The sequence below is a fragment of the Homo sapiens genome, chromosome 1, assembly GCF_000001405.40.
Source record: "Homo sapiens chromosome 1, GRCh38.p14 Primary Assembly".
In the NCBI taxonomy this organism is placed as follows: domain Eukaryota; kingdom Metazoa; phylum Chordata; class Mammalia; order Primates; family Hominidae; genus Homo; species Homo sapiens.
In genome coordinates, this window is record NC_000001.11 from 93,342,740 (window position 1) to 93,369,493 (window position 26,754).

The 26,754-nt window shown below is 37.1% G+C and overlaps 1 protein-coding gene and 1 long non-coding RNA gene across 2 annotated transcripts in view, besides 3 other annotated features; one reads left to right on the forward strand and one right to left on the reverse strand.

The window, feature by feature from the left end:
• The window catches only part of CCDC18-AS1 (CCDC18 antisense RNA 1), a 35,703-nt gene extending 32,631 nt beyond the window's left edge, over positions 1-3,072 (reverse strand). Inside the window, exon 1 of the long non-coding RNA NR_034089.1 lies at positions 2,985-3,072. This is a non-coding gene — a long non-coding RNA (CCDC18 antisense RNA 1). The remainder of the gene's footprint in view (positions 1-2,984) is intronic.
• Positions 2,763-3,298: an enhancer, noted in NCBI's record as "H3K27ac hESC enhancer chr1:93811059-93811594 (GRCh37/hg19 assembly coordinates)". NCBI's record gives its function as "activates a minimal SCP1, AML or CMV promoter by ChIP-STARR-seq in primed H9 embryonic stem cells {active_cell/tissue: H9 hESC(primed)}" and the evidence as "EXISTENCE:reporter gene assay evidence [ECO:0000049][PMID:30033119]".
• On the forward strand, positions 3,168-26,754 carry DR1 (down-regulator of transcription 1). Its single transcript, NM_001938.3, has 3 exons — positions 3,168-4,126; positions 11,169-11,332; positions 17,754-26,754. The coding sequence occupies exons 1-3, from the start codon at positions 3,907-3,909 to the stop codon at positions 17,898-17,900; spliced, it is 531 nt and encodes a 176-aa protein (NP_001929.1). The 5' UTR covers positions 3,168-3,906; the 3' UTR covers positions 17,901-26,754.
• Positions 3,668-3,737: an enhancer, noted in NCBI's record as "active region_1330". NCBI's record gives its function as "activates an Ori minimal core promoter by ATAC-STARR-seq in GM12878 lymphoblastoid cells {active_cell/tissue: GM12878}" and the evidence as "EXISTENCE:reporter gene assay evidence [ECO:0000049][PMID:35858748]".
• Positions 3,798-4,007: an enhancer, noted in NCBI's record as "active region_1331". NCBI's record gives its function as "activates an Ori minimal core promoter by ATAC-STARR-seq in GM12878 lymphoblastoid cells {active_cell/tissue: GM12878}" and the evidence as "EXISTENCE:reporter gene assay evidence [ECO:0000049][PMID:35858748]".

Sequence of the window (26,754 nt, forward strand, 5' to 3'; positions counted from 1 at the left end):
AACAAGGTGGGAGTTATATTCATCTTTATTTCTCCCACATCATAGTCAGGACACTAGACAGTTATTGAATGAATGTAGAAATCAGATGCTGTCTTCTCTTTCCACTTTCTATAGGACACCACTTCTACAAATGCCTGCCCAAACATGTGCAAAAGCAAGCACATCTTCTCTAAACAGCTCCCTTTCAACTCCACTGTTTTTGACAGTGACACTCCCCTAACCCTACTCTGAGGCTAAACTTTTTTTTTCCTTTTCTTGAGGCAGGGTCTCACTCTGTCACCTAGGCTGGAGTGTAGTAGTGTCATGGCTCACTGCAGCCTCAGCCTCCTGGGCTCAAGTGATCCTGCCACCTCAGCCTCCCAAGTAGGTAGGATCACAGGTGTGCACTACCACACCTAGACAACATGAAAAAAAAAAGTTTCATATATATGCATTCTCTCTGAAACTCTTAAAGCTTAATAAGGAGATGTTCTCTTTGTCCTTAAAAGCCTATTTATAATACAGATACATGTAGTGTACTATAAATAACTATTTAAATATGGGCTACAGATTAGCATATTTTATGACATATCACACTGGTATTTATATCCAATTAAATTTCTCTCAGCCACGTATGTAATAAACTAGTTACATGGTTCATTACTAGTTGAAGACTGACCAAGCCTGATAAAGATGATAAAAGACACTAACATTATATAACACTTCATACTATAAAAAGTACTTTCACACAACTCTCATTTGATTTTGAATCCTGTGTGTTACATAATATTTCTATATCTGAACTGAAGAAAATGAGGCTTGGAGAGTGACTTGTCTAAGTAAAAAAAAAAGCTGGGACTGGAACCTACAACTCTTACTACACATTCAATTCTGTTTATGCTACCACAGAAGCCTGTAGCAATAAACTATTACTGAAATAATGTGTGCTCTACTCGTCTATTTAGCATAAGTCTATAAACATAAATGTTACATGAAAAAGCAAAGTTATAGTTTTTTCAGGAGAGACAAGATAAGGGTCAGTGACACTGTGACAACTTGGGACATTTTTTGCCAGCCAGCTTTTTCAGACGGATAAACTTGTTAAGGTCAAGATAAATTTAGGCACCATAATAAATCTTTAAATCAACAGTAAACTGACAAAAAAAAACAAACCCACCACTTCATAAAGTATTTTTTTTTTTTTGAGATAGAGTCGTGCTCTGTCTCCCAGGCTGGAGTGTAGTGGTACGATCTTGGCTCACTACAAGTTTTGCCTCCAGAGTTCAAGCGATTCTCCTGTCTCAGCCTCCCAAGTAACTGGGATTACAGGTGCCCACCACCACACCCAGCTAATTTTTGTATTTTTAGAAGAGGTGAGGTTTCACCATGTTGGCCAGGCTGGTCTCGAACTCCTGAGCTTAAGTGATCCGCCCCCCTTGGCCTCTCAAAAGTGCTGGTATTACAAGCATGAGCCACCATGCCCAGCCTGAAGAAAATTTAATTAAAATACTGTTTTTAATCAAAGAAATTTTGTTTTGACTAAATTTAGTAGCACTGAAAAACAAGTGTCTACACTTCAGAAATTAAAGAACCAGTAAGTTGTCCTGCAGAAAATGCTAAATGAAAAAATAGCATAATAAACTGTAATGTCTTCTTGAGAGCAGCATATAGGGCTCAGACAGAACGTTTTAAGAAAACACTGTCAACAAGCCAGTTGCCATCATATGTATCAAGAGTAATGAATCTGATGAACCAAAGTGACAAAATGGATTTCAACAGTGTCTTGTTTAGTTTTTAGAAATTCCAACATCCCACTATTTATAGTATAGCCTCTTCTTCCACATGACAGTATGACAGACTCAGTTTTTTTACTTTTTTTTTTTTTTTATCTTTTTTGAGACAAAGAATCTTGTTCTGTCACCCAGGCTGGAAGTGCAGTGGCACAACCGCAACTCACTGCAGCCTTGACCCCCTGGCTCAATCGATCCTCCCACCTCGCCCTCCAGAGTAGCCGGGACTACGGGTGCCTGCCACCAAGCCTGGTGAAAAAAAAACCCGTGTTTCATATTGTCATATAGAAGAGGCTATACTATAAACAGTGGGATGTTGGAATATATATTTATATATATAAATATATATTATATATATATATATATATATTTTTTTTTTTTGTAGGGACGGGTCTCACTATGTTGCCCAGGCGGGTCTTGAACTCCTGGGCTCATGTGATCCCCCTGCCTCAGCCTCCCAAAGTGTTGGGTTTACAGGTATGATGAGCCACAACGCCTGGCTGACACACTTTTTTTTTTTTTAAATGCAATTTCTGTTTAGACCTTGACACCTGTTGATATTACTAGTCACTATGGAAAGAAGTAAAAACAGTTGCTTAAGATGCTCTAACACTTTTTTCCCCTGTAGAAGCCAACATGGAATACAACATGAAAACTGTCTAAATGGGAACCTTCTAATATAGCTCATTGTATGCCATGCATTTCCACTCCATTTCCACTATGTTGGAACTGACTTCTGCTTTCCTACTTAGCCATTAGGCGACTTAGTTGCCTCTAGGCAAGTAACTTCTCTGAAATGTTTCATTTTTCATGAAGTTTAAAAAAAAAAAGGTGAAGGACTTTAGAGAGCTTTGAACCGAATAAGGTCTATCAGACATCTTGAAAAGCTTTTTCTCCAGACGACGCAGAAACAGGCACACGGGGTTCTGCTTTCCCCACCTCCCACCCCCAAGCCCAGGTCCCATTCTTCTCACTTTCAATCCTCATTTGGGCTCCTAAAGGAATAGCAAAGAGAGTTATTTTATCAATACCAGCGCTCCTCTGTCCCCAAATCCAGCTAGGGAAGGTTTCGGAGGCCTCAGCTACTTGAGAGAGGGTAGAGACGATCCTTCCTCGCCTATCTACCCAGCCACCCACCCCTTCCCAGATGTAGCGTCCGGGCCCCAGACCAAGCGCGTGCTTGGAGCTCTCCGGTACAGTGAGGCGCGCGCTTGCCTGGCTAGGGTCCCTGTGAAGGAATGGGATCCCGAGGTGCTTGCCAGGACCGTAGCAGGCGGAAGCTGCTGGCAGCGCGAACGGGCGGCTCCCGCCGGCGTGGGTGGGGGAAGGGCGGCAGCCACACCCGGAAGTCGGTCCGGGAGGGAGGGGGAAATCTGAGGGAACGAGGCTTCCGGTGGCGCAAAGGGTGTCGGGAGCGGCTTCCTGCAAACCTTCCCTGGCATCTGGAGGGACCACCGTTGCCGCGTCTTCGGCTTCCACGATCTGCGTTCGGGCTACGCGGCCACGGCGGCAGCCACTGCGACTCCCACTGTGCCTGGCTCTGTCCATATTAGTTCCCAGGCGGCCGTCGCCGTTCCAGCAGCGGCAGCGGCAGCGGCAGCGGCGGACATGTTGTGAGGCGGCGGCGCGGGTGTCTGAAGGATGGTTTGGCCGAGGCGGCGGCAACGGCTGCTGGCGGCGGCGGCAGCGGCAGCGGGGCCTCGGGCTCTATAGAGCCGAGCCCGCTGGGTACCCGCCCGGTACCGCGGCGAGGCCAGTGCCCCTGGATCTTGCCTCTGCTCCGACGCCGTTGGGGACCAGTTAGGCGACAGCGCCCGCCCCTCTGAGGAGACACGAAGGTGGTTCCCCAGCCGCTCAAATTTCCGGACCACCGCGCTTTCCCCTCCTCAGCCTGGGCTGTGCTCTCTCTAGAATCCTCGGGCCCCCACTTTCTTCCCAAACTCATCCTAAATCTCTCACACACGCGAGTGTTCCCAGCCCTCAAGCCAGCTGCTCCTCCGTTCATTTTCTGCACCCTCTTCGCAAAGCACCCCCCGGGATCACTCTCCGAGGGCGACTTTTTGAGAAATCTCGGTGGAGTAGTGGACCAGAGCTGGGGAGTTTTTAAAAGCCGGGGCGCGAGAAACAGGAAGGTACTATGGCTTCCTCGTCTGGCAACGATGATGATCTCACTATCCCCAGAGCTGCTATCAATAAAATGATCAAAGAGACTCTTCCTAATGTCCGGGTGGCCAACGATGCTCGAGAGCTGGTGGTGAACTGCTGCACTGAATTCATTCACCTTATATCTTCTGAAGCCAATGAGATTTGTAACAAATCGGAAAAGAAGACCATCTCACCAGAGCATGTCATACAAGGTAAGTCGTGTGTGAGAGCTGGTTTGAATGAGGTTCTAGGGTAGCAGTCTGCTAATCGCGTGACCCTTTCGTGTCAAAGCCTCCATTCCTCTTCCCTGGTAAGTAACTTAATGAAAAAGCCAGACTGGCATGTAGGCAGCCGGTGCTTTAAAAACAATCCCTTTGTAGCATTTTTGCAGTACTTTTCATCCAGCGAATACATGTAAGGAGTGCAAACATTTAGGTCAGCGTCCCCAAAACGTAAAGAATAAGAGTGATCTCACTTTACAGCCAGGTAAGCCGAAGCAACAAGAATTACTTGCCTGAAGTTGAACTTAGATAATAATTAAGGAACGCAGAAATTCTCCTTTGGAAAGTTAAAATTCAGACGGAGGAACTTCAACGTGGGTGGAGACAGAGCACCCCCTTCCCCACCTGACCTTTCACCAATGTAGAGGAAAAGATTTATTTTCTGAACACATGAGTTAAAAAATTCTTAACATACAATGTGTTCAACGTTGTCAAGTTTATCGTTGTTAAATAAAAGGTGTATGTTTTCTGCTCTAAAAATGGTTTGATGGTACGTTCATGAATGAGTTACCAAATAACTCCTGTTCCATTCTGTAAGAATAGGGTGAACTTTAAATTTTCGTTTTTTTCTTTTCGTTTGCTTTTATGTCGTTTGCTTTGTTCTATTCTGTGGAGATAAGTTTTGAAATCTTTGATTGAAAGTTTATGCAAGTTTTTTTTTTAACGGAAAATTTCCCCGTCCTTTCCTGCTGTCATTCCTATTTGAATGTATACACTTAGGCTTTTATGGAACAGCACTTCTGAAAACTTCAACAGTTTCTTTTATCCTGGAAAGGATTTGGTCCCGTAATAGGGATTTGGGGGACTGTATTCTGGTGGTTTCAGAGAGGAGAAACATATTTACTATTCATAATGTTTCGGGAACGTACCTTTTGCGATATTTTTACATGTACTCTTGTGAAAGAGTTGTACTCAATTTGAGGTGAGAACTTGCCTTTTGTAATAATCTAATTAAAGTTATTGATTGCTTGTGAAATCAGGGAAAAATGATTAATTTTAATCATTTTGATAGGCAGGTGGTTGTCTATCACTTAATTTTTATAATTTAACTTTTTAAAATGTGACTTTCCTGTTGTACTGAAGTAGAGAACACATCTGCTTATATTGACCATATCCAATATTTTACTCTCAGTATTGACAAAAGGATTAAATGATTCATTTTTAATCCTTTATGACGTCTTGAAAGTAGTTTTAAAATATATCCTGCCATTTCAGTACACAAGCAGAAAAATCCCTAGGAAAAAGCATATTTGATTCTTAAAACTAGTACTAGTTTTTTTTTTTTCTACTTGTTTGGTGTGCTGAATACTCTAGCAAGTAAAATGAAAGCCAAGTTGTCTATTTTTTCCCTTGTGTATTTATTTTTACATTGTATGTGTGATTGCTGTCATAAGTCTTTCACAAGATTATCCAGCACAGATAGCTATAATTTCTTTTTACAACTCTTAAAAAGGAAAAAGAACCTTTATCAACATTGCCTTTCTAATGAAAATTGCAAAAGATTTCAGCAGGGTCTGCCTAAACATTTGTTTACACTACAGAAGTGGGGATCGTTCCAAAAACCTAATAACACATTACAGTCTGTCTTCTTGGGGAGAGTTGATTCTTTTCTAGGATATATTTAGATTTCTGATTGACATGATGGAATAGAAGTGCAGCTGTAGCAAGCAGTATGCTAAATAATTCAACTTTGGAATATGCTAAATTCAGTTTAATGTGTGAGTCAGAAAGCTATAGTGAAAAAGCATTTCCATTGTGTAATGAAGATGATTTGTTTTTAAAAATCATGTATTGACGTGTTACCTTAAATTTAAAAATTTACCTTTTTTTCTTGTATTATGCTATTCTTAAAAGTGGTTAAGAATCTACATTTTCGCCCAAGAATTCTCCCTAGTTGGGGTTGTAGACTTTATACATTTATAATCTCATATTGCTTAATTATTCCAAAGAAGTTTTGTTTTGAGAGATTACATTTTTAAAGAAATTCTTAAGGTTTATATGTTTTAGGTGTTTGAAGTGTGTGCCTATACACTAATCATAATAGGACATTTTTATACTTTTCTGTCAGCATTGATTAGGAATGTAGAATATATCCAAATGGAATAAGTAATGTACATTTTAAAGTGATATGATTCTCACATGTTGAAGTTTGGGTTTTTAGTGATAAGTTTAATGAATTAGACTTTGCTTCAGGACATTTCACTTGTTCATTTCTCACCTTGCTTTATCTTGTCTGAGCAAATTAAGCATTCTGAGATAGTTCTGTAAAATGCAAGTTAAAGTTGAACTAATTTTATCACCAGTATATCTATGAAATAACTTATTTAAAAAAATTTTTTTTTCTGTTTTGCTTATTTTGAGTTTAAGAAAGTAGACTTGGTATTGAAGACCATAGATACATGAATAGAGGGAGTTCTAAGCTATAAAAGGTGTTCCTATTTTGTTGCAGTTTTTTGTGAACACGTATTCTTGAATGAGTTCTAACATGTTCTGTTGCCTTATAGAAAGAATTGACATTGAGAGTCAGCTGTAAGTTCCGCACTGAGAATTCTTTAACCTTAGGGAAATCTTTTAACTAAGGTTTTCTTATTTGTGTACAAATAATACTTGATTTCAGGTATTACTTGTAATTTTTGAGAATTAGTCAGGGGTTGAGAACCTTACATGAAATATCTCCCCTCACATTTATGAGAATTGTAACTGAAAGTAGTAAAAGTTTGAAAGAGTATCTGAGAATTTGCGTCTTCAGCTGTTGAGTTGCTCCAAGCTGTCTTACGTTGAAGGAATTTTTAAAAAATTCCTGTCCTTCTCACACTAGTAGCTTTGTAAGATAACATGAAAATAGATCACTGGAAAAGATGAGGGAAAGACCAACACTCAATTTTTTACTATTTGATTCAATAGACATAAAATTATTTTGTCAAATTGCAATGAAGGTACTTAAATGCTTTGAATTTCCATACTTAACTAATGTTAACCATTAGGAGCAGTTTTGGCATAAGTCCATGGACCACAGTTTGAGAACCTTTGCTCTAAAGCCTAAACCAGTCTCTGTTGGAAAGTGGACGTAAGTAGTAAATAATCGTTTATACAGATATTTTTTCCGAAGGGACACATCTAATTTGCACTGCAAAATTTATCACATAATCAAATGCTTTTCAAGTTAGGATTTTATTAATACTTTTCTTTAAATTAATATATCTTTTATTTCTGTTTTCCTTCTGCCACCCCACAATTACTTATTGAATACTACCAATTATTTGGCATCATGCTAGGTACTACTAAGGATATTAAGATAAATGATACTCAATTCCTTCTCTGCCATTAGTCTCTCATTGTTGTCCAAGATTTCCAGTAGTGATACCATGGAGGACATGGTTCTTAAGGGGTTTCAGAAACCTTTGCCAGGCTAATGAGCCAAGAAGTCACTTTGGCCTACATCCTCTTAATGTATTTTATGTGAAATACATTAGTTGCTTCCTTCCCACAAACAAAAGAAAATGGAGAAATTAGAGAATGCTGATTTATATAGTATTTAAAAGGTACTGTATATCACGTAATTTTACAAATGAAAAACATGTTTTATGCATATGAAGTATAAAGTGAGTCACATAAATTCATGTTATGACAGAACCTTTCAGGAGTACATCACTTTGTAAAATAAGATAAGCCTATATGAAGATTATTGTTGCTTCAAAGAAATTTTTACTTCTTTTTTGTTTTTTTAATAGCTGTCTTGTTAACATCTGTCTTTTAAGCTGAAAAATGTGCAAAGTATTTTTTCCCCTAATGTACACCATGGACTTTTCTGGTTGTAGTTTTGAGATACACGGCATAGGGTGACAGATAGTGATGTGTGTTAATTTTACTCACAAATTTTTAAAAAAATATTTTTCTGTTTTGGAAAGATGAGATCCTTAGAAATAGGGCCATGAATAGTCCATAAGGTCTCTGTACAAATTAGAAAAAGGCACTCCTTCCTTAAAAAGCATTACTACTGTCTGCCAGAAAAAGTATCACAGTAAACATACGAATTTATGGTATTTACAATAAGAATGGCCCTCTAGTATGTTGTGTACTGAACAACCTACCTAACTGTATGTAAATGGTGGCCCTGCTTGGGAGCCATTTCCTTTATCCTTTAATATTCTCTTTGTGTAAAATGGGAATGATAACTAATACATGATAGCAAATAATGTAAAATATCTCTCTATTTAGAAGGTATTATGTCCAGTTATTGATATCTGTTAGCCCAATGTGTTTAAAATTAAAGTCAATGAAATTTTTGAAATTAAATTTATGGCTGCTCCTTTTCAACCATTTTGTTGAGAGTATAGTTTTTACGTATGGCAACTCTTTGAATAATATTAAATATTAACCTTGGACCTACTTGAAAGCAGTGTTCTCAGCCTTAAATGTTTTTAAAGGTAGTTATATATTTAAAAAAAATTCTTAATCCAAGCCCTCCATGGTTAAAAATAGCTTGGATTGGATTTTCTTTCTTTTTTTTTTTTTTTTTTTTTTTGAGACAGAGTCACGCTGTCAGGCTGGAGTGCAGTGGTGTGACCTCGGCTCTCTACAAGCTCTGCCTCCCGGGTTCAAGCAATTCTCATGCCTTAGCCTCCTGAGTAGCTGGGATTACAGGCGTGTGCCACCACGCCTGGCTAATTTTTCTGTTTTTTGTAGAGACAATGTGTTGCCATGTGGGCCAGGCTTGTCTCTAACTCCTGACTTCAAGTAATCCCCGTGCCTTGGCCTCCCAGAGTGCTGGGATTACAGGCATGAGCCACCATGGTCGGCTGGCTTGGATATCCTTAATGTCTAGTATAGTAACTATGGTATTTTGAAGGGTTGTCTCTCCATTGTGTTGATTTGTTAATTTTATAAATTTGATATTTTATAAATATGCTTGTCCAGCTTGTATTTAAATATGATATTGTATAGCTATACATTTATTTAGGTCCTGTACACTTATGAGGGTACTCTTTTAAATTTAAAATAAAAAATACAGATGAGAAATACATAGTCTGAGTTGGTTAAGTGATTCTTAGGTGCTAGACACTGTCAAACGCCTTATATTAATTACCTGTTGATTCCTACAACCCTAAAACTAATAACAATATGATATTTATTGCTTCATTTTTAATTTTTAAGAGGCAGGGTCTTGCTTTCTCACCCAGGTTGGAGTGCAGTGCCACAGTCATAGTTTACTGTGGCCTCAAACTCCTGGGCACAAGCGATCTTCCTGCCTCAGCCTCCCGTGTAGCTGGGACTACAGGCGCCTGCCACCACGCCGGCCAATTTTTTTTGTATTTTTAGTAGAGACAGGGTTTCACCCTGTTAGCCAGGATGGTCTCGATTTCCTGACCTCATGATCTGCCTGCCTTGGTCTCCCAAAGTGCTGGGATTATAGGCGTGAGCCACCGTGCCTGGCCATGTTGGTGAATTTGATATACAGAACTTAGAATAATGCCTTTCTGAAGTTTTTAGGGAGGTCAGGGGAAGTGAGTTAACTTAATAATAGGACAGTACTATGCTTTTTGGCATCAGATTATTTCTAAAGAAGGTTGATGAAAACAGCTTAACATTTGAAATACTTAAAGTTGTAAATCATTCAAAATGTCTAAAAACCACAGTTTGCATGGGCATGTAGATTTGTAAAGGTGTTTTTGGCATTCTCCCAGAAGAGCAAATCCCTGAAGTTAGAAGTGAGAGCATGTATACTAAAAGGAGTCTGGTTCAACATAATGATTGAAAGACTTCAAGAACTGATGACTTAAATTGATTTACTGTTTTTTGCCACCTATGTTTCATCATTGGTTCACAATACAAAATATGCCTTTGGGGCATTAGTCAATATACCAAAACTATAAAATATAATTTTAAATACTATGACCCAAAAGGAAATTTTATGCCTTGTCTTTTCTGGATTACAGAAGGTATTTAGGGTGTGTGAATTTTTTTTTTTTTTTTTTTTTGAAACAGGGTCTTGCTCTGTCATCCAGGCTGGAGTACAGTAACGCAGTCATGGCTCGTGACATCCTCAATCTCCTGGACTTAAGCAATCCTCTCACCTCAGCCTCCTGAGTAGCTAGAACCATAGGCACGACCCATCACACTCGACTAATTTTTTTACTTTTTGTAGAGACGAGGTCTTGCCATGTTGCCCGCGGTGGTCTTGAACTCCTGGACTAAAGGGATCCTCCCACCTTGGCCTCCCAAAGTACTGGAATTACAGGCATGAACTACCATGCCTAGCCCATTTTTTTTTCCTTATAAAATTTCCTTTCTAAATACGAAAAGGGGAGAAACATTTTTATTAGTGCTTCTTGTATCTTTATAGTCTTTCAGCTACGTTTTTTTTGCCACATCATTTAAATATGTTTTTATTTTTCCTGTTAAGTTTTATTTTCAAGAGAAACCTGTTGGCTGACTATAAGTGCTGAATTTCATGACTTTTATTTCCACCAGTATTTTTTAAACTTGGCAGTTTGAGTATCTGCTAAAAATAGCTTCCTGTTGGTATATTGGACAAAAGAAAAACTTCTGTTCTTTTATTCTGTCCTACCAGAACTTAGTAGAGAATGTGTTACCAGCCTACTTTTTCTAAGTCAAATGACACAAAATGTTTTTTCTTACTAAAACCATATGTTCTTATAATGGGCTTTTTTTTCTTCCCTGCTTACAGGAAATGCTTTGGTCTTTTAAAAATTAGTCAGAATGAAAAGTGAAGGCATGTGCCTTGGTTCTTCAAGTTTTAACTGATTTGCCACCTAATATTTAGCAGATTGATAAAATATTTGTCTTGGCTGCCCAGACAGTTGTTGTACAACTATAAAATAGGTAAAATTATTAGAAAACAGCAAAACATTCCCCTCCCCCAAAGAAAAGCCCACAAAAACTTTAGGTCTACGGGTTGGGGGAAAGCTGTGTTTTATCACCCTTTCATATTTTAATATTTTCATTTCTCTAGCACTAGAAAGTTTGGGATTTGGCTCTTACATCAGTGAAGTAAAAGAAGTCTTGCAAGAGTGTAAAACAGTAGCATTAAAAAGAAGAAAGGCCAGTTCTCGTTTGGAAAACCTTGGCATTCCTGAAGAAGAGTTATTGAGACAGCAACAAGAATTATTTGCAAAAGTAAGTAATTTATTTAAATTATTTTCCTCTGAATCCTACCCTGTTTGCTAACTGAAATTGCTTCCTAAATTAACAGACATACCCAGAGGATTCCCTTTTTCTAGGTAGTTGATTATAGATTCTGGTGTTCAGAGCTGACCAATTTGACTCTGGTTTATGTGAAAGTAAATATTTGCAGCAATCTGTTCTAAAGAGAACAACTCCAAATACCTATTGAAATTTCACTTGATATTTTTTCAGACAGAATGACCATTTTAAGGCATGAAAAGTATACCTAAATATTCTTAAGATTTAAAATGATGAGCTGATGAGAAAATACTATATCAAATTTTATGATGCATGACATACCAGCAAAATCTGATTAATATCAACTGTGTAGTTAAATTAGGTCTTTAATATACACCTTTGAAGCATTTTAATCTTAAAAAATATTTTAAAGCTAGTAGAGCAAAGGGAGAAAATGTCTTCTTCCTTGCTTGTAATAATTCTAATATCTAGACTCTGAAGGATTAGAACCAAATACTAATGTTCTCTGTTTCAAAAAGAGAAGGGAGGGGAATTGGTGGCAATGCTGTGTTTTCCCTTCTAAGTTCTGGCCTCTCATTTGAAATTATAAGGCAGCTTTGGATTGAATAGAAGAGAAGCCGTAGTAACCATTAGAACTGGGAAGTATCATTTTAGGTAAACTCTTCCAGGTTAGTCCTGTAGCTGATCTCTCTGCAGCCATAACAATCAGTTTGGTTTACATCAAACTGCATTTTAGTCTTAAGTATTGTTGGTCACTAGACACCAAGTACCATTTAAACAAGATAAAAAGAAAAACTTACATTTATTGAGTTCTAACCACGTGTTAATCACATTGCCAAGTAATTTTCCTGCATTATCTCATTTAATCCTCCCAACAACCTATCATAGGCACTAAAGAGGAAAAGCCTTTGAAGCAGGCGTTAGTACATGCAATGTTATAATTCATATGAATATGAGGTACAAAAGAAGAGGTGTTGATGTTTTAAAAACATTAATGGCTATTTATTGATATTGCAGACCACCTAGAGAATGCTAAATTGAACATTTAGTGACAGAAGATTTTCTCCTGGATACTTTAAATACATAAAAACTTGGCAGAGTTTTTATGAAATATAAATTTTATTGTATTCATTTACATATTAAAAAATAGACTCAGAGGCGGAAAAACTTCCTTGAAATTGTTTGTCATTTGTTCTACAGTTACTTACTGAAGTCATTACTATTTACCAAGCATCATGCTAGGTGCTAGGCTTACAAGAGTGAACAAGGAGACAGGGTTCCTGTCATTATAGAGCTTAATCTACTGGGGAAGATTGAGTGGGAAAGATTGACTTAAATAAAACAGTAAGTTCAGAAAGTTAGGAAGTGTTGGAGTCTATATTTAAACTTAGGTATTTTGACCCAAAAGCCTGTACTGTTTCTAACATACCATGCTGATGCTCTAGCCTCCATTTTATATGCTTAAACTTATTATGGGGCTTTTAAATAGAATATGTATTATCCTTGCCAGGGCAAAATATAAAGAAATAATTGACTGCCTGCTATATCTGTCTTCACCTTTCTATCCCTATTATCTGTTTTTTTATTCCTCTTTTTTGTCTCCCTTGTTTCTTACCCTGACTTATGTATGAAGATCTCTAGTATTTCTTTACTATTGTGAGGATGACCAGCGGAGAGGTAATATTATAGCAGTTGCCTAGTACTTCTTCCCTAGAGCACTGAAGTTCTAAATATGAAAGAGTGGATAAGTAAATATATCTTTTTTATCACTTTCATTTTGTTTCATTTTTTAGACTTTAAATATTAACACAATGACAGCCTCATTTGAAGCTAGCAGCAAATATTTGGAAGGAGGGAACCTTTAATACATCAAGATTAAAGTTAACTTTAAATTATAAATGAGTCATTTTAATATGTGGGAGTGAGAATCTTAAAACATAATGAAAACCTCCAAAAGAAAAGTGAATTAGGAAATACATGCCTGCTTACCTGTCTTTCACACCCCAATTTTAGAAGAAAAATACTTGGGATGGATTGAGTAGGGGGCAAGAGAGAAAAAAATATATTACAGTAAATATCACTGAAAAATGTTCAATTTGTGGAAATGAATACAAATAAAATTTTATCAATCAACTTTTTTTTTTTTTTAAAGAGACAGGATCTCACCATGTTGCCCAGGCTGGAGCACAGTGGCTATTGACAGGCTCGATCAGGCACACTTCAGCCTAGAACTCCTGGGCTCAAGGGATCCTCCTGCTTCAGCCTCATGAGTAGCTGGGACTATAGATGTGCACTAGTGAGCCCAGCTCAACAGTTAGTTTTAAAGGCATAGAAATGTTTTTATGTTCAGAGAAAAGTATCAGCGCTGATACAGGGCCGTGGTAGCTAAAAGTCAATTAAATTTGAAATGTAACTAGTACACAGCTTTGCAGACCATTGAATAGACTACCAAATCAAGCACCTTTGCAGTAAAACCTTTGTAGAGACTTGAAATTATTTGAATTTTTTCCATGTCACAAAATTATACCAACTTGTAGTTGATTAGACCACAAAATATAGGTATGCTTATGTTGGTTGAATTTATGTATTTGATTTGCCCTGCAATTTTCTTATGAACTCTTACAATTTTTTTTTTTTTTTTGAGATGGAGTCTTGCTCTGTTGCCCAGGCTGGAGTGCAGTGGTGCTATCTCGGCTCATTGCAACCTCCGCCTCCCGGGTTCAAGCGATTCTCCTGCCTCAGCTTCCCAAGTAGCTGGGATTACAGGCATGCACCACCATGCCTGGCTAATTTTTGTATTTTTAGTAGAAACAGGGTTGCATCCTGCTGGCCAGGCTAGTCTCAAACTCCCAACCTCAGGCGATCCGCCCACCTTGGCCTCCCACAGTGCTGGGATTACAGGCATGAGCCACCGCGCCCGGCCTTAAAATGTTTTTAGCGAAGCTCTGTTAGTTGGTTTTGAACTCTGGATATTCCTGCCGTAAAAGTAAATATGCTATTGTGTTAGAATCAACTATTTTTCCTATTTCTTTACAAAAATGGATGACAGTCATTATTAGGGAGAATGGATGGTTTCTAATTTCCTAAGCAAAATGAAGTTTTTGTTTACTGTAAAAGTTGTCTTATCCTTGTTTTTTCTAATATCTATAGTCTTTTCCTTACTTATTTCTTCCTCTTTGCCTTTAACCATATACGGGTCTTCTGCATTTCCTTGTATCCCCCAAACCCTTTCATCTTTTGCTATAATGATCTGTGTTACCCACCAAGCAAGGTGGCACCTTCCTGTAGTCCCAGTTACTCGGGAGATGGAGGCAGGACAATCCCTTGAGGCTAGGAGTTCAAGGTTGCAGTGCATAACAACTATGCCTGTAAATAGCCACTGCACTTTAGTCTGGACAACATAGCAAGACCCCATCTCTAAAATAAATAAATAAATAAATAAATAATGATCAGTGCTACCATTTTTTGAAAATGTACAATCACTTATTCCTCAAATTTAACTTCTGTCCTACCACAGAGGCATTTAATCACCAAATTCAGTAATTTTTTTTCCTTTCAATTCTTACTCATCTGTTTTTTTAAAAATAACATTTAATGTAGACCTCTTCCTTTATTAGTCTCTGATACTATGGTTACTTGGATAGCTTTCCCCCAAGGTAATAGCTTTTCTTCTTCCACTTCACTACTGCCACCTACACCAGCACCACCCTACTCCTGCCCTTCAGTCAACAAATTTCAAGTCAGAATTCAATTAACATGTCCCTACTGTATGTAAGACATATGTGGTACTATAGATATAAAAAAAAATGAAGAATATATCATTATGAGACTGACTACTTGGATGAGGAAGATAACTATAATATGAGGCTGACCACTTATGAGAAAGAGATTCTGGCTGGGCATAGTGGCTCACACCTGTAATCATAGCACTTTAGGAGGCCCAGGTGGGAGAATCACTTGAGCCCAGGAGTTTGAGACCAACCTGGGCAATATAGTGAGACCCTCTCTCTACAAAAATAGAAAGAAAGAGGGAAGAAGGAAAGAGAAAGAAATCCCAAGTATGGAAACATTACATCAAATTTTAGGGGTACAGGAGTATGCCAACTAGTAAGCAATTATCTTAGCTCCAGACCCACCTTTCTATGCTCTGCTTTGTGACTGGACCTAGTACTCTGCAAGCCACATGTTTCTTTGCTAGCTGACTCTCCATTAGACTCTGTTGCCATATGGGGCTATCGTGGGAGATTGCATGGATGGAGGAAGAGAAAGGGTTTTCTCTTACTTTCTCTTGTCTTTCAGTTCCTTTGAACAACCCAGCAACACTTCTTCACCCTGGTTGCATCAGTTTTCCTGTAGCAGAGACTGAACGCGGTTTGCATTTTCTCTAATACACCACCAGCCTGAACCCGCACCCCATCCCCCCACTCTGGCAGTGTGGATCCCAACCCTTGGGGCCCTCCTCCAAGCGCAGATATATTAGTACTAGCTTATCTATGCCCATTCTTCCGAGGCCTGAGTTTCAGTTCCATGAAGTGGTTTCTTAAGCTTCTAAATTTTAAAAATTCCAGCATTTTCCTTTATTCCCTCAGTTTTAGGGTTGGTGGCTGCTTCCTGTAGCTGCTACTTTCATGACATCTTCATGTTCTCTTCCTGCCTTTTCAGCTCCCTAATAACAACTTTATACTTGTTTAACAATTCTTCGTATTAAATTTTTTCCATTCCAGTAACTCATGTGACATCTATCTCTTGATTATACACTGACTGATGCCAGGAGGAGAAAATAGTATTTCAGTTTGACTTGAAGGAAGGGTAGAATTTCAGTAAGTGGCAGGAAATTTCACATAGGATGAGTGTCAGCATGAGTAAAGGTAGCAAAGATGAGGAAGTATGGTGTATATTTGGGAAACATTTTGTGTTCTAGGCTTTTTTGAAGCACAAAGTACATGTTACAAAAAAAGACTATAGAGAGGTTGGGGTAGACACTAATTTGGAAGACCTTGAACTCTAGGCTAGGAAATTTGGATTTGATTGATAACAAATGATTTTTTTTAAAAAAATGAAATAGTGACCTGATTAGAATTTATATCTAGAAATGTTTGGATAATAAAGTCATGACAGATTATTCAGAAGAGTGAGGATTGTACATGGTAAAATCTTAAATGTTACTGGTTATGCTGGGCATCACTGTTTTCCTGTAGCATGTTCATTCAGAAAATACTGAGGGCCTTTATGTTAGGAATGCAACAAAGAATATGGAAACAATCTCTATTCTCAAGTGTGGTGGAAAAAAAGGATATAAACTTAGATAATTCTAGAACAAAGTGGATGGATATGGGAATGCATAGGGAATTATGGTATATTAAATAGAGCATAAAATATGGCTTGGAAAGGTCAAGAAAGACTAGCTGATTTGCATTTCAGATGATGACTAGGAATTAGCTATGCATAAAGGGGAGGGTCTGAGTTGGACTTAAAGAACAATTCCAAGAACAGACAGAGAAGGAGAAAAGGATTGTTTTGGCAGAGTCTAATGGGAAATTGTAAGACCTTTTTAAGAACAGGTTCATTTTTTCCCTTCTTGGTGTGGTTTTTCTGCAAACAGATGAAATTAAATTGTGAAGGAGCCTTAGCTGTTTCATAGGTAATTAATAATGTATGCATCCTGGTTTCTTAAATCCTGTGGTTGTTTTTAATAGAGGATATATCAGATGAATGGATTTTAAGTAGTATCTTTTTACTAGTGTGTATACGGGAAGGATATGTATATTTGTATGTGTGTATATGCAAATGTGTGTACTTACAGAGAGGGAATGAGGGACACAGAGAGATAGGCATATAGTAGGTTAGGGAATTGTAATAGAAACTCAGAAAGAAATAATGGGGTAGCTACTGCATACATGTACAGTACTTCTTTCCTATGAGGTAGAGGTACTATACTAGAGAACTTTTAAACCATATAAATAAATTTTAGATTGAAAAATGTTTGTATCAAAGTTGTAATATGAGGGTACAGAAGAGTCAAGTGAAATGAAAGGAAAAGAAGAGGGAAAGAGCCAGAGGGAATATTGTGGGTTTTTCACAATATTGGTTCCACTTTTTCAACTTCTTCAGTTGAATCAAAGGTCATAAATTACGTGAAATAAAACAGGGCCATTTATAAGAGATCCAAGTTTGAGAAATTTCTTAGACCTGTGTAGTTAGAAAAAAGCAATCTCTAATTATATTTACCTATAGAGTTTATGTTCTCCAGATGTGTGACAATTACATAGTACTTGGACAGTATCCAAGTATGATAATAAACTGTCTGAAATTGGCCTAATCTACATTTAACCAAAGTGTATATATTGTGGGTTTGTAAAAAATTGTTATTTTTTTTTATGTTTTGGGTGTTTAGGCTAGACAGCAACAAGCAGAATTGGCCCAACAGGAATGGCTTCAAATGCAGCAAGCTGCCCAACAAGCCCAGCTTGCTGCTGCCTCAGCCAGTGCATCTAATCAGGCGGGATCTTCTCAGGATGAAGAAGATGATGATGATATCTGAAATTCACCAGCTGAGTTTCTATTTCTTCTATAAATGTTTTTCCCTGCACAACAAAAACAGTGAAAGAAATGCTTATCTGTAATTTTGTATGCATCTTGGTGGACTTGTCATTGGTATTCTAGGGATGTCTGCTATTAAGTTTCATCTATTGTGTGCTATACATGTAAAAACTGTCTCTTTGAACTATTGAAAATTTAAGGTTCAGTATAATATCAATTTTGAATTTTTAATGGTGTTTATGAAATTTTAGATAGCAGCGAGTCCTTCGTTTGATCAATAAACAGTGTTACAGATAACTTCAAGTTTATAAAAATACAGTGAAATTTCTACAAAGCTCTAAATCTGCATTTGCATTTCCTCTGCCCTTTTAACTAAACTAAAACTTGTGAATTTTAAATTATTAAGGGGGGGGTGCTGTGTGAATCAGTAGACATTGGATTGGGTTGGTGAAAGAGTTCAGTTCTGTAGTATCTGAATTTGTCTTTTAAAATGAGTACATATATAGGCAATAAATATATATGCTCAGATCAATATACTTGTTTAGAAAAACTTCAAGACATTCAAAAACTAGGAAGGAGTATGTTTAATAGTATTTGTATAAATTTGGTGGTTATGTTTTTTTATTTTGTTTCTGTTTTGTGTAGAGGTAAAAACTATAGTTTTATTACAGCATAATTCATTTTGAGCTCCACTATGACATTTCAAAGACTGCCCAGTTTGGAAGTCTGTCATGATTTTTACTCTTTCACTCCAATTCAGTAATTGTTGATAGTATTACTTACCTAGTCCATCCATACTCATATTATTCAAATATATAGGTGGTACTTTTGAAACAATTACATTGGTTCTCTTGGTTTAACTGAGGTTTATGAATATTCAAACCTTTGCTGGGGGAAAGAAATGAAAGTTAATGAGCATGCTTGCTATGAGAGAGGGATTTTTAATTTAACTTGTAGTTATAGTTTACTTATTGTTTTTAGAATTACTTTTACATTTTCCCAACTAGATGGCCTAGAGTCCAACATTACCTTTTGAGATGACATTATTGTCTCCATAATTGAGTGATAGCTTTAAAAAAAAGATTAGTTTTGCTTAAGAAGTTATGTTACAACTGATCAGCCCTATATGAATTAACTGATCAGCCCTATATGAAACATAAGTTGTGTTATAACTTATCAGCCGTATATGGAACATAAATAGTTTCTACCTGCTTGTTAGAGAAGCTTTAATTTGGTTCTAATAAATACAGTATGGTAGTGTTTATAGGAATCCAGGATGTTGAAGAAATGGCATAATGTCTATATTTTGGAAACAGAAAGGAAAAGTCACTTAAGATAGTATTAAGTAATTAAATTCCTATGTCAGTTGCCAAATCTTTTAAACTTATGTATTCACCAAGCCCAAAAATAGATTGTGGCTCCCAGGATTCCAATTTTAATTGGAGAGCTAAGTAAGTAAAGTTTTATAACTGTTAGGTTTCTTAATGATCATATTTTGCAGTTTTAGTAAAAGGGAAATATTGTTATACATTTATTAAATATACTTCCCCCATGAAGTGAAAAGGTTAATTTTGCTGAATGTTTTAAGTTGAAGTTACTTCATGGATGTCATACCCATGAAGTGCATTTGGATGAGATAGAAGAAATTGTTTTTTAAAAAGTTTAAGTACCAAAGGTAGTCTAGTCTAGAACGATAAGTTAATACGTGTTGGCTTTTCTAATTTGTACTGTAACATCCTTATACTTTCTATTTTAAGTATATCTGTTTCTTAAGTAAACAACTTAGATATTTTCCACACCTTTTTTTTTTTTTCTGATGCAGAGTTCAGGTTAATATTTTACTGCATCTGATAATGTATTATACGTTTGAAGCCTAGTGACTTTTCATTTTGACATTCTTGTGATTTCATATGCTGTATTCTTCAAGCAATAAAATTGTGATGTGTTTTATAAATGGTTTTTATATTTAATGTTCTATAGAGAGATTTCTATTATTACCATTTTTACTATTTTCAAGAATCTTAGGCCCAAAAGACATTTTGGTCATTTGGTATGTAGTACCTGCCTTTTGTTTTTGTTTACTGTTATTTCAAAAAATGTGGTTTTACTTGTATTTTTATAATTTACAGTCCTAAGATCGAGGCATAACAAAGCTTACTTATGCAATATTTTATTTTTAGGTTTTTTCTTTTTTTTTTTTTTTTTTTTTTTTTTTTAGCATTTAAGAGTCACTATTATGTTTTGCCAGTTAAAATTTTTTAAATCTTTTGAAGAGAGAAACAAAATCTTCAGCGTTCTTGAGAAATAAAATTATTGTTCAGTAAGTATTTTTCCATCCCCTTGAATATATGTTATATATTCTTTTTCGGCAGATTATCAGATTAGTAAGTGTTTAAAAGGCATCAGTTTTTAAAACTGCATATACCACACACACACAAAACAGTACACAAATAAAGGTTTTCACAAATTAAACAAACTCACATACTAGTCTTCAGATCAAAACACAGAGCATTATGTGTACCCCAGAAGCCCTCCTCTTTCCCCATCTTAACACTGTCTTCTTTCTTGCTGAAAGTTACTATCCTGACTTCTAAAATCATAGATTAGTTTTGCCTGTTTTTTATTTTATGTAAATGTAATCATACATAATACACTTTTTTTCATTCATCATTTTTGTGAATATTTTAGTTTCTTGTTGCCACTGTAACAAACTACCACAAACTTAGTGACTTAAAACAACACAGATTTATTCTTTTATAGTCCTGGAGATCAGAAGTCCAAAAATCAGTTTCATTAGGCCTAAATCAAAGTATCAGCAGGGTTGGCTCTTTATTGAGGTTGTGAGGGAGAATGTTTTCTTCCCTTTTTTGGCTTCCAGTGACGGCCTGTATTTATGGGCTTGTGACCCCTTCCTCTCTATGATCAAAGCTTGCTTTTGTCATTATATCATCTTCTCTTCTGTAGTCAGATCTTTCCCTGCCTCTAAGTTTAGGGCTCACCTGCATAAAGCAGGGATAATCCCCCTATCTCAAGATCCTTAATTTAATCACATCTGCAGAATCTCTTTTGCCATATAAGTGACATTCACAGGTTCCAGGGATTCATACGCTGGCTATCTTTGGAGGCCGTTATTCAACCTGCCAAAGTGAGATCCATTCTTATTGTTGCATGTATTTGTAGTTCATTCATTCTCATTGCTGTATAGTCTTCCGTTTGTTTATCCATTTTTCATTACATCCAAAAGTTATTCATTCTCCCATTAATAGTCTTTTGAGAATTTTTCAATTCTGAGCTATTATGAATAGTACTGTGTAGAACATTCTTATACATGTCTTTTGGTGAGTGTATACATTTCCATTGAGTATAAACCTAAGAATGGAATTGCCAGGTTGTAGGGTGTGTATATTTTCAGTTTTAGTATTTACTGTCAAACAGTTTTCCAAAGTGACTGTAAGAAGGCACCATTTTAATGTGTAGCATAAAAATGAATTACGCTAATGATCTTAGTGGGTTGAATTTCTCGAAACACCTAAATTGTACCAAATGAGTTATATTGCAGCAGGTATGTTGTTAATTTCATATAACAGGAAAATAAGAGCAAAAGTAATTGCCCTTATTAACTGACACATTAGTATTACATACTCATTAGGTTATTGCTCCTTAGAAAAAATGCAAATTTTAAGTAATCGTAAGTAGTATGTTGAATTAGTATGTTGTGGGAAAATCTGTGATTTAATTTTTTAATTGAATTTTAAATTTTGGGTTATAACCTCATTAAAATGCATGATATTTCCTTATATAGGTTTCTAAATTATGTCTGTCCAACTCATCTATATCCAAATGGCCATTAGGAAGAATTATCCAATTCAGATGGCATAGGCACTGCCTTCCAATTTCTTCATTTGTATTTTTTTGTTGCTGTTTTCTTTTTTGCCTCTGTCCCCAACAATTTGACCACAAGTCCTACCCCACCTCCTCTGTTTTTCACCATCCCCCAGGATATAAAGTGTCATGGTTAGGATCGGCCAGGGTGAAGAGAATGATAACATAAGTAGCCTCCTTTCACCTAAAGTATTACCACTGGTTCTTATCCTATTTCCTCAAAATAAATGAGAAGAGAAAGTAAGGAATAAGAGGAAGAAACTTTTTTTTTTTTTTTAAAGAAACAGGGTCTCACTATGTTTCCTTTTTCTTTTTTCTTTTCTTTTCTTTCTTTTTTTTTTTTTTTTTTTTGAGACAGAGTCTTGCTCTGTCACCCAGGCTGGAATGCAGTGGCGCGATCTCGGCTCACTGCAAGCTCCGCCTCCCGGGTTCACGCCATTCTCCTGCCTCAGCCTCCTGAGTAGCTGGGACTACAGGTGCCCGCTAGCACGCCCAGCTAATTTTTTTTGTTTTTTTTTAGTAGAGACAGGGTTTCACCGTGTTAGCCAGGATGGTCTCGATCTCCTGACCTCGTGATCCACCCGCCTTGGCCTCCCAAAGTGCTGGGATTACAGGCGTGAGCCACTGCGCCCGGCCTATGTTTCTTAATATAGATTGCAGTGGCTAGATTACAGTGACTATTCACAGGCATAATCATAATGCACCATAGCCTCAAACTCCTGGGCTCAAGCAATCCAAAAGGAGGAAACTTTTAACTTATGATCAGTTTCTACCATAAATCAAGCAACTTAGAAAAACCTTAGAACAGGGTTTCTCAAACCAAGCATTGTTAGTATTTGGGGTTGGTTAAGTCTTTGTTTGTGGGAGCCTATCCTGTGCATTGTAGGATTTCTAGCAGCATAATTGGCTTATGCCCACTTGATGTCATTAGCACCACTCCCCACCCTACTTCCAGTTGTGACAACCCAAAAATGTCTCCAGACATAGCCAACTGTCCCTGGGTGTTGCGAGTATAGGAGGCAAAATTGCACCCTGTTGAAAACCACCACCTTAGATCATCTAGGTTTTACTTTTAGGATAAGACACTTGAGGGAAAGGCTGTGAAACTGAACCTCTGTTAGAAGCAACACACAGTATCACTGCAAAAAGACTAAAAGAAATAGGTGATTTGGAAAGAGGAGGCCCAGGATTAAAATATGTTTCCAAGAAAGTCAAATCTTACAGGAGACTCTTGACTTCACATCTGCTGATCCCTTTACCCGATAGGACCTAGAGCAGCCATTATAAATCTCTGTACCTGCTTGCTGCTTTTCTACCTCATTGTTAGCCACACCCAGTTTGAAACAGATGAGGTATGCTATTTCATAACTAGTACATCTTTTAATAAGCATTTTTTATTGTGATTAAATATGCATATCGTAAAATTCACCACTTTAACCAGTTTTAAGTGTTCAATTCTGTGGCATTAAGTATATTCATACTATTGTGCAACCACCACCACCATCCGTCTACAGAACTCTTCATCTTCCCAAACTGAAATTATGTATTCATTAAACAATAACCACCCATTACCTCCTCTCTCCTCAGCCTCTGGTAACCAGCATTCAGTCTCTATGAATTGACTACTCTGGATATCTAAATGGATTCATTCTTATTTCATTTACCATAATGTCTTCAAAGTTCATTCATGTTGTAGCATGTATTAGAATTTCTTTCCTCTTAAAGGCCAAATATGCCGTAGTATGTAAATACCGTATTTTGTTTATCAGTTCATCCATTAATGGACACTGGGTTGCTTCTGCTTTTTGGCTATTGTGAATAATGCTTCTGTGAACGTGGGTATACAAATAACTGTTTGAGTCCTAATAGGCTTGTTATTTTTGAGTGCACAGATCTGTATATTCGCAATTGAAATAGGGAAAGTCTTTATATTCATATAAAGATAATTTATAATACAATAAGTCCTCAATGTTGTTGATAGGTTCTGGGAAACTGCGAGTTTAAGAAAAACAACATATAATGAAATCAATTTTACCATAGGTGAACTGATATAAATAAGAGTTAAGTCCCTATGGCATATATTTCTGGTTACAAAAACACTACCAAATTTCTAATAAAGACCCAAAACACTTCTAAAATTAAACATTGAGATTAATATGAGCTTTATATACATTTAAAAAGGATAAAAACAAGTAAGAATTGGCTGGACATGGTGGCTTACGCCTGTAATCTCAACACTGGGAAGTCGAGGTGGGCAGATGGCTTGACCTCAGGAGTTCGGAACCAGCCTGGGTAATATGGTGAAACCCGTCTCTACAGAAAAATTCAAAAATTAGCCAGAGGTGGTGGCTTGCACCTGTAGTCCCAGCTACTCGGGAGCCTGATGTGGGAGGATCCCTTGAGCCTGGGAGGTCGAGGCTGCAGTGAGCCATGATCACGCTACTGCACTCCAGTCTGGGCAACAGAGCAAAATCCTATCTCAAAAAAAATATATATATTATCCAGCCCCAAATGTTTATGGGGTTGTTATTGATAAACCCTGCATTAAACAATCCCACAGTCGGTGCTGCGGTGAGCCGTGATGGTACCACTGCATTCCAGCCTGGGTGACAGAATGAGACCCTGTCTCAAAAAAAAAAAAAAAAAGTAAAAATTATTTACCCAATATTTGGCGAATCAGTGAGTGACAGCAGTTGTAGTGCTAGTGGGTTAAATCAAGGAATAACTGTTGGGAAGTGAAAATTTTAAGGAGCACCTCCTACCACCATGCAGTTCAAAAACAAAAAATAAGAAATAAAGTGGGCTTGCTGAGTGCTTTCATACTGCATCATTTATTGTGCATTTGTATGATTATTATATACTTTACAAATTTTCGTTTTACAGTAATTTGTATTCATTCGTTTTTCAACCTGCTTATTTCAGTTCAGTGTCTTGGGTAGCTGGAGCCTATCCCAGCAGCTCAGGGAGCAAAGTGGGAGCCAACCCTGGACAGGATGCCTTTTCATCACAGGGCGCACTCACACGGCACACACACGCATACTGGGACCATTTAGCTGTACCAATTCACCTAACGTGCATCTTTGGGAATTGAGAAGAAACCAGAATACCCAGAGAAAACTCATGCAGATATGTGGAGGACATGCAAAATTCACACAGACAGTGGCCCTGGTTGTAAATAATTGTTTTTCATCAATGTTATAATGAAATTACAGGCCGGGTGTGGTGGCTTACGCCTGTAATCCCAGCACTTTGGGAGGCCGAGGCGGGTGGATCACGAGGTCAGGAGATAGAGACCATCCCGGCCAACATAGTGAAACCTCATCTGTGCTAAAATACAAAAAATTAGCCAGGCTTGGTGGTGTGCACCTGTAGTCCCAGCTACTTGGGAGGCTGAGGCAGGGGATTTCTTGAACCCAGAAGGCGGAGGTTGCAGTGAGTTGAGATCGCGACACTGCACTCCAGCCTGACAACAGAGCAAGACTTCGTCTCAAAAAAACAAACAAAAAAAGAAATTACATTAGTTGAGGACCTGCTGTATGTGATATGAACAATGAGGATCAACTCTTTTTGTAATAGTTTTTTTACATATGTTATTTCATTTGTTTATTTCCTCTGTGAGGGTAAGTATTGATAGTCCAGTCATAGACTGGTAACACAGGCACACCATTAAAAATAATAGACATACAGTATGCAGTATTTTGTTTTACTTATGAAACTCCGTATTTTATGTATGATGTATTGAGTATGAAGAATAGTACATACTGTTTCCTTTTAACTTTATGTTTCTTGCCTTTGTATATTTTATATGAATAGCACTTGTCACTAACATAGAAAGCAGTAGAGGTGGAAGAGGGAGACTTGCCAGAATAAGTTTTTAATGTGAATCAGAGATTTTTATTAGGAATTGGGAGTGGAAGGAGAGAGATAGTATTAGAAAGTATGTATGCAGCAAAGGATGGAGAAACTGTCCTTGTTGTTAAGGCATCTAAGGATGCTCCAATTACTGGGGAAAACATACCAGGCTCAAAATGGTCTGATTATGCAAATACCTTCTAATACGTTTGTTTCTTTTGTTGTGCCTATAAAAGATGCCATTAACTTCATATTTATGTCACTAATAAACTTCTAGAATCCATGTAGTAGGGTGTAGTAGTGTGGTTAAGCTATGAAGAACAATGGTATTTATTTCCAAAACACTTATTTGGTATATTACATAGGATAGAGTATGTTTTCTAAGCCAAATAGTGTTAGGTTTTCATGTGCAGTTGCCTTACACATATACTAGTAGCCCTTACAAAATTTCGTCTGTCTTTATTATAAACATGTTGTAAGTGAGGAAACTAAGATTCCAAGAAATTAAGTACTGTTGGCCCTCTGTGTCTGGGGGTTCCACATCTATAGATCGACCAACCATGGACTGATGGATTGAAAACATTTGGGGAAAAAACAAAAAATAACCCAACAATGAAATAGTATAAATTTTAAAAATAATATAACAATATTTATATATCATTTACATTATGTTAGATATTATAATCTAGAGATGATTAGCATCCTTGGATTTTGGATTTTGGTATCCTTGGGGTATCCTGGAACCAATCCCTGGCGGATACCAAGGGATGACTGTAATATAATAACATCTAACAAGTGAAGGATTTGAACCCCAATGTAAGTAATTATGAAAACTATTTTTCTTCCACTAGAACTTTTTTCCCCAAAAATACTCTGGAAATACTGGAACAAATACTAAAATAAATGACCTTTATTTGAAGATCTTTTAAAAAAATTATAAGCCTGCCTGAGGATAGCAAAATTGTGTGCTTTTGCAAGGTAATTGTAGAACTCATTCTAAGGAAGCAGAGGTAATGTCTGTTACTATTTTCAGCTCCCTTTTTCTGTCCACTGTTGTCTAAATGATTCACTCAGTGTTATGCAGAATATGAGAAGTTATTTTATAAAGTTGATTTGTGGTA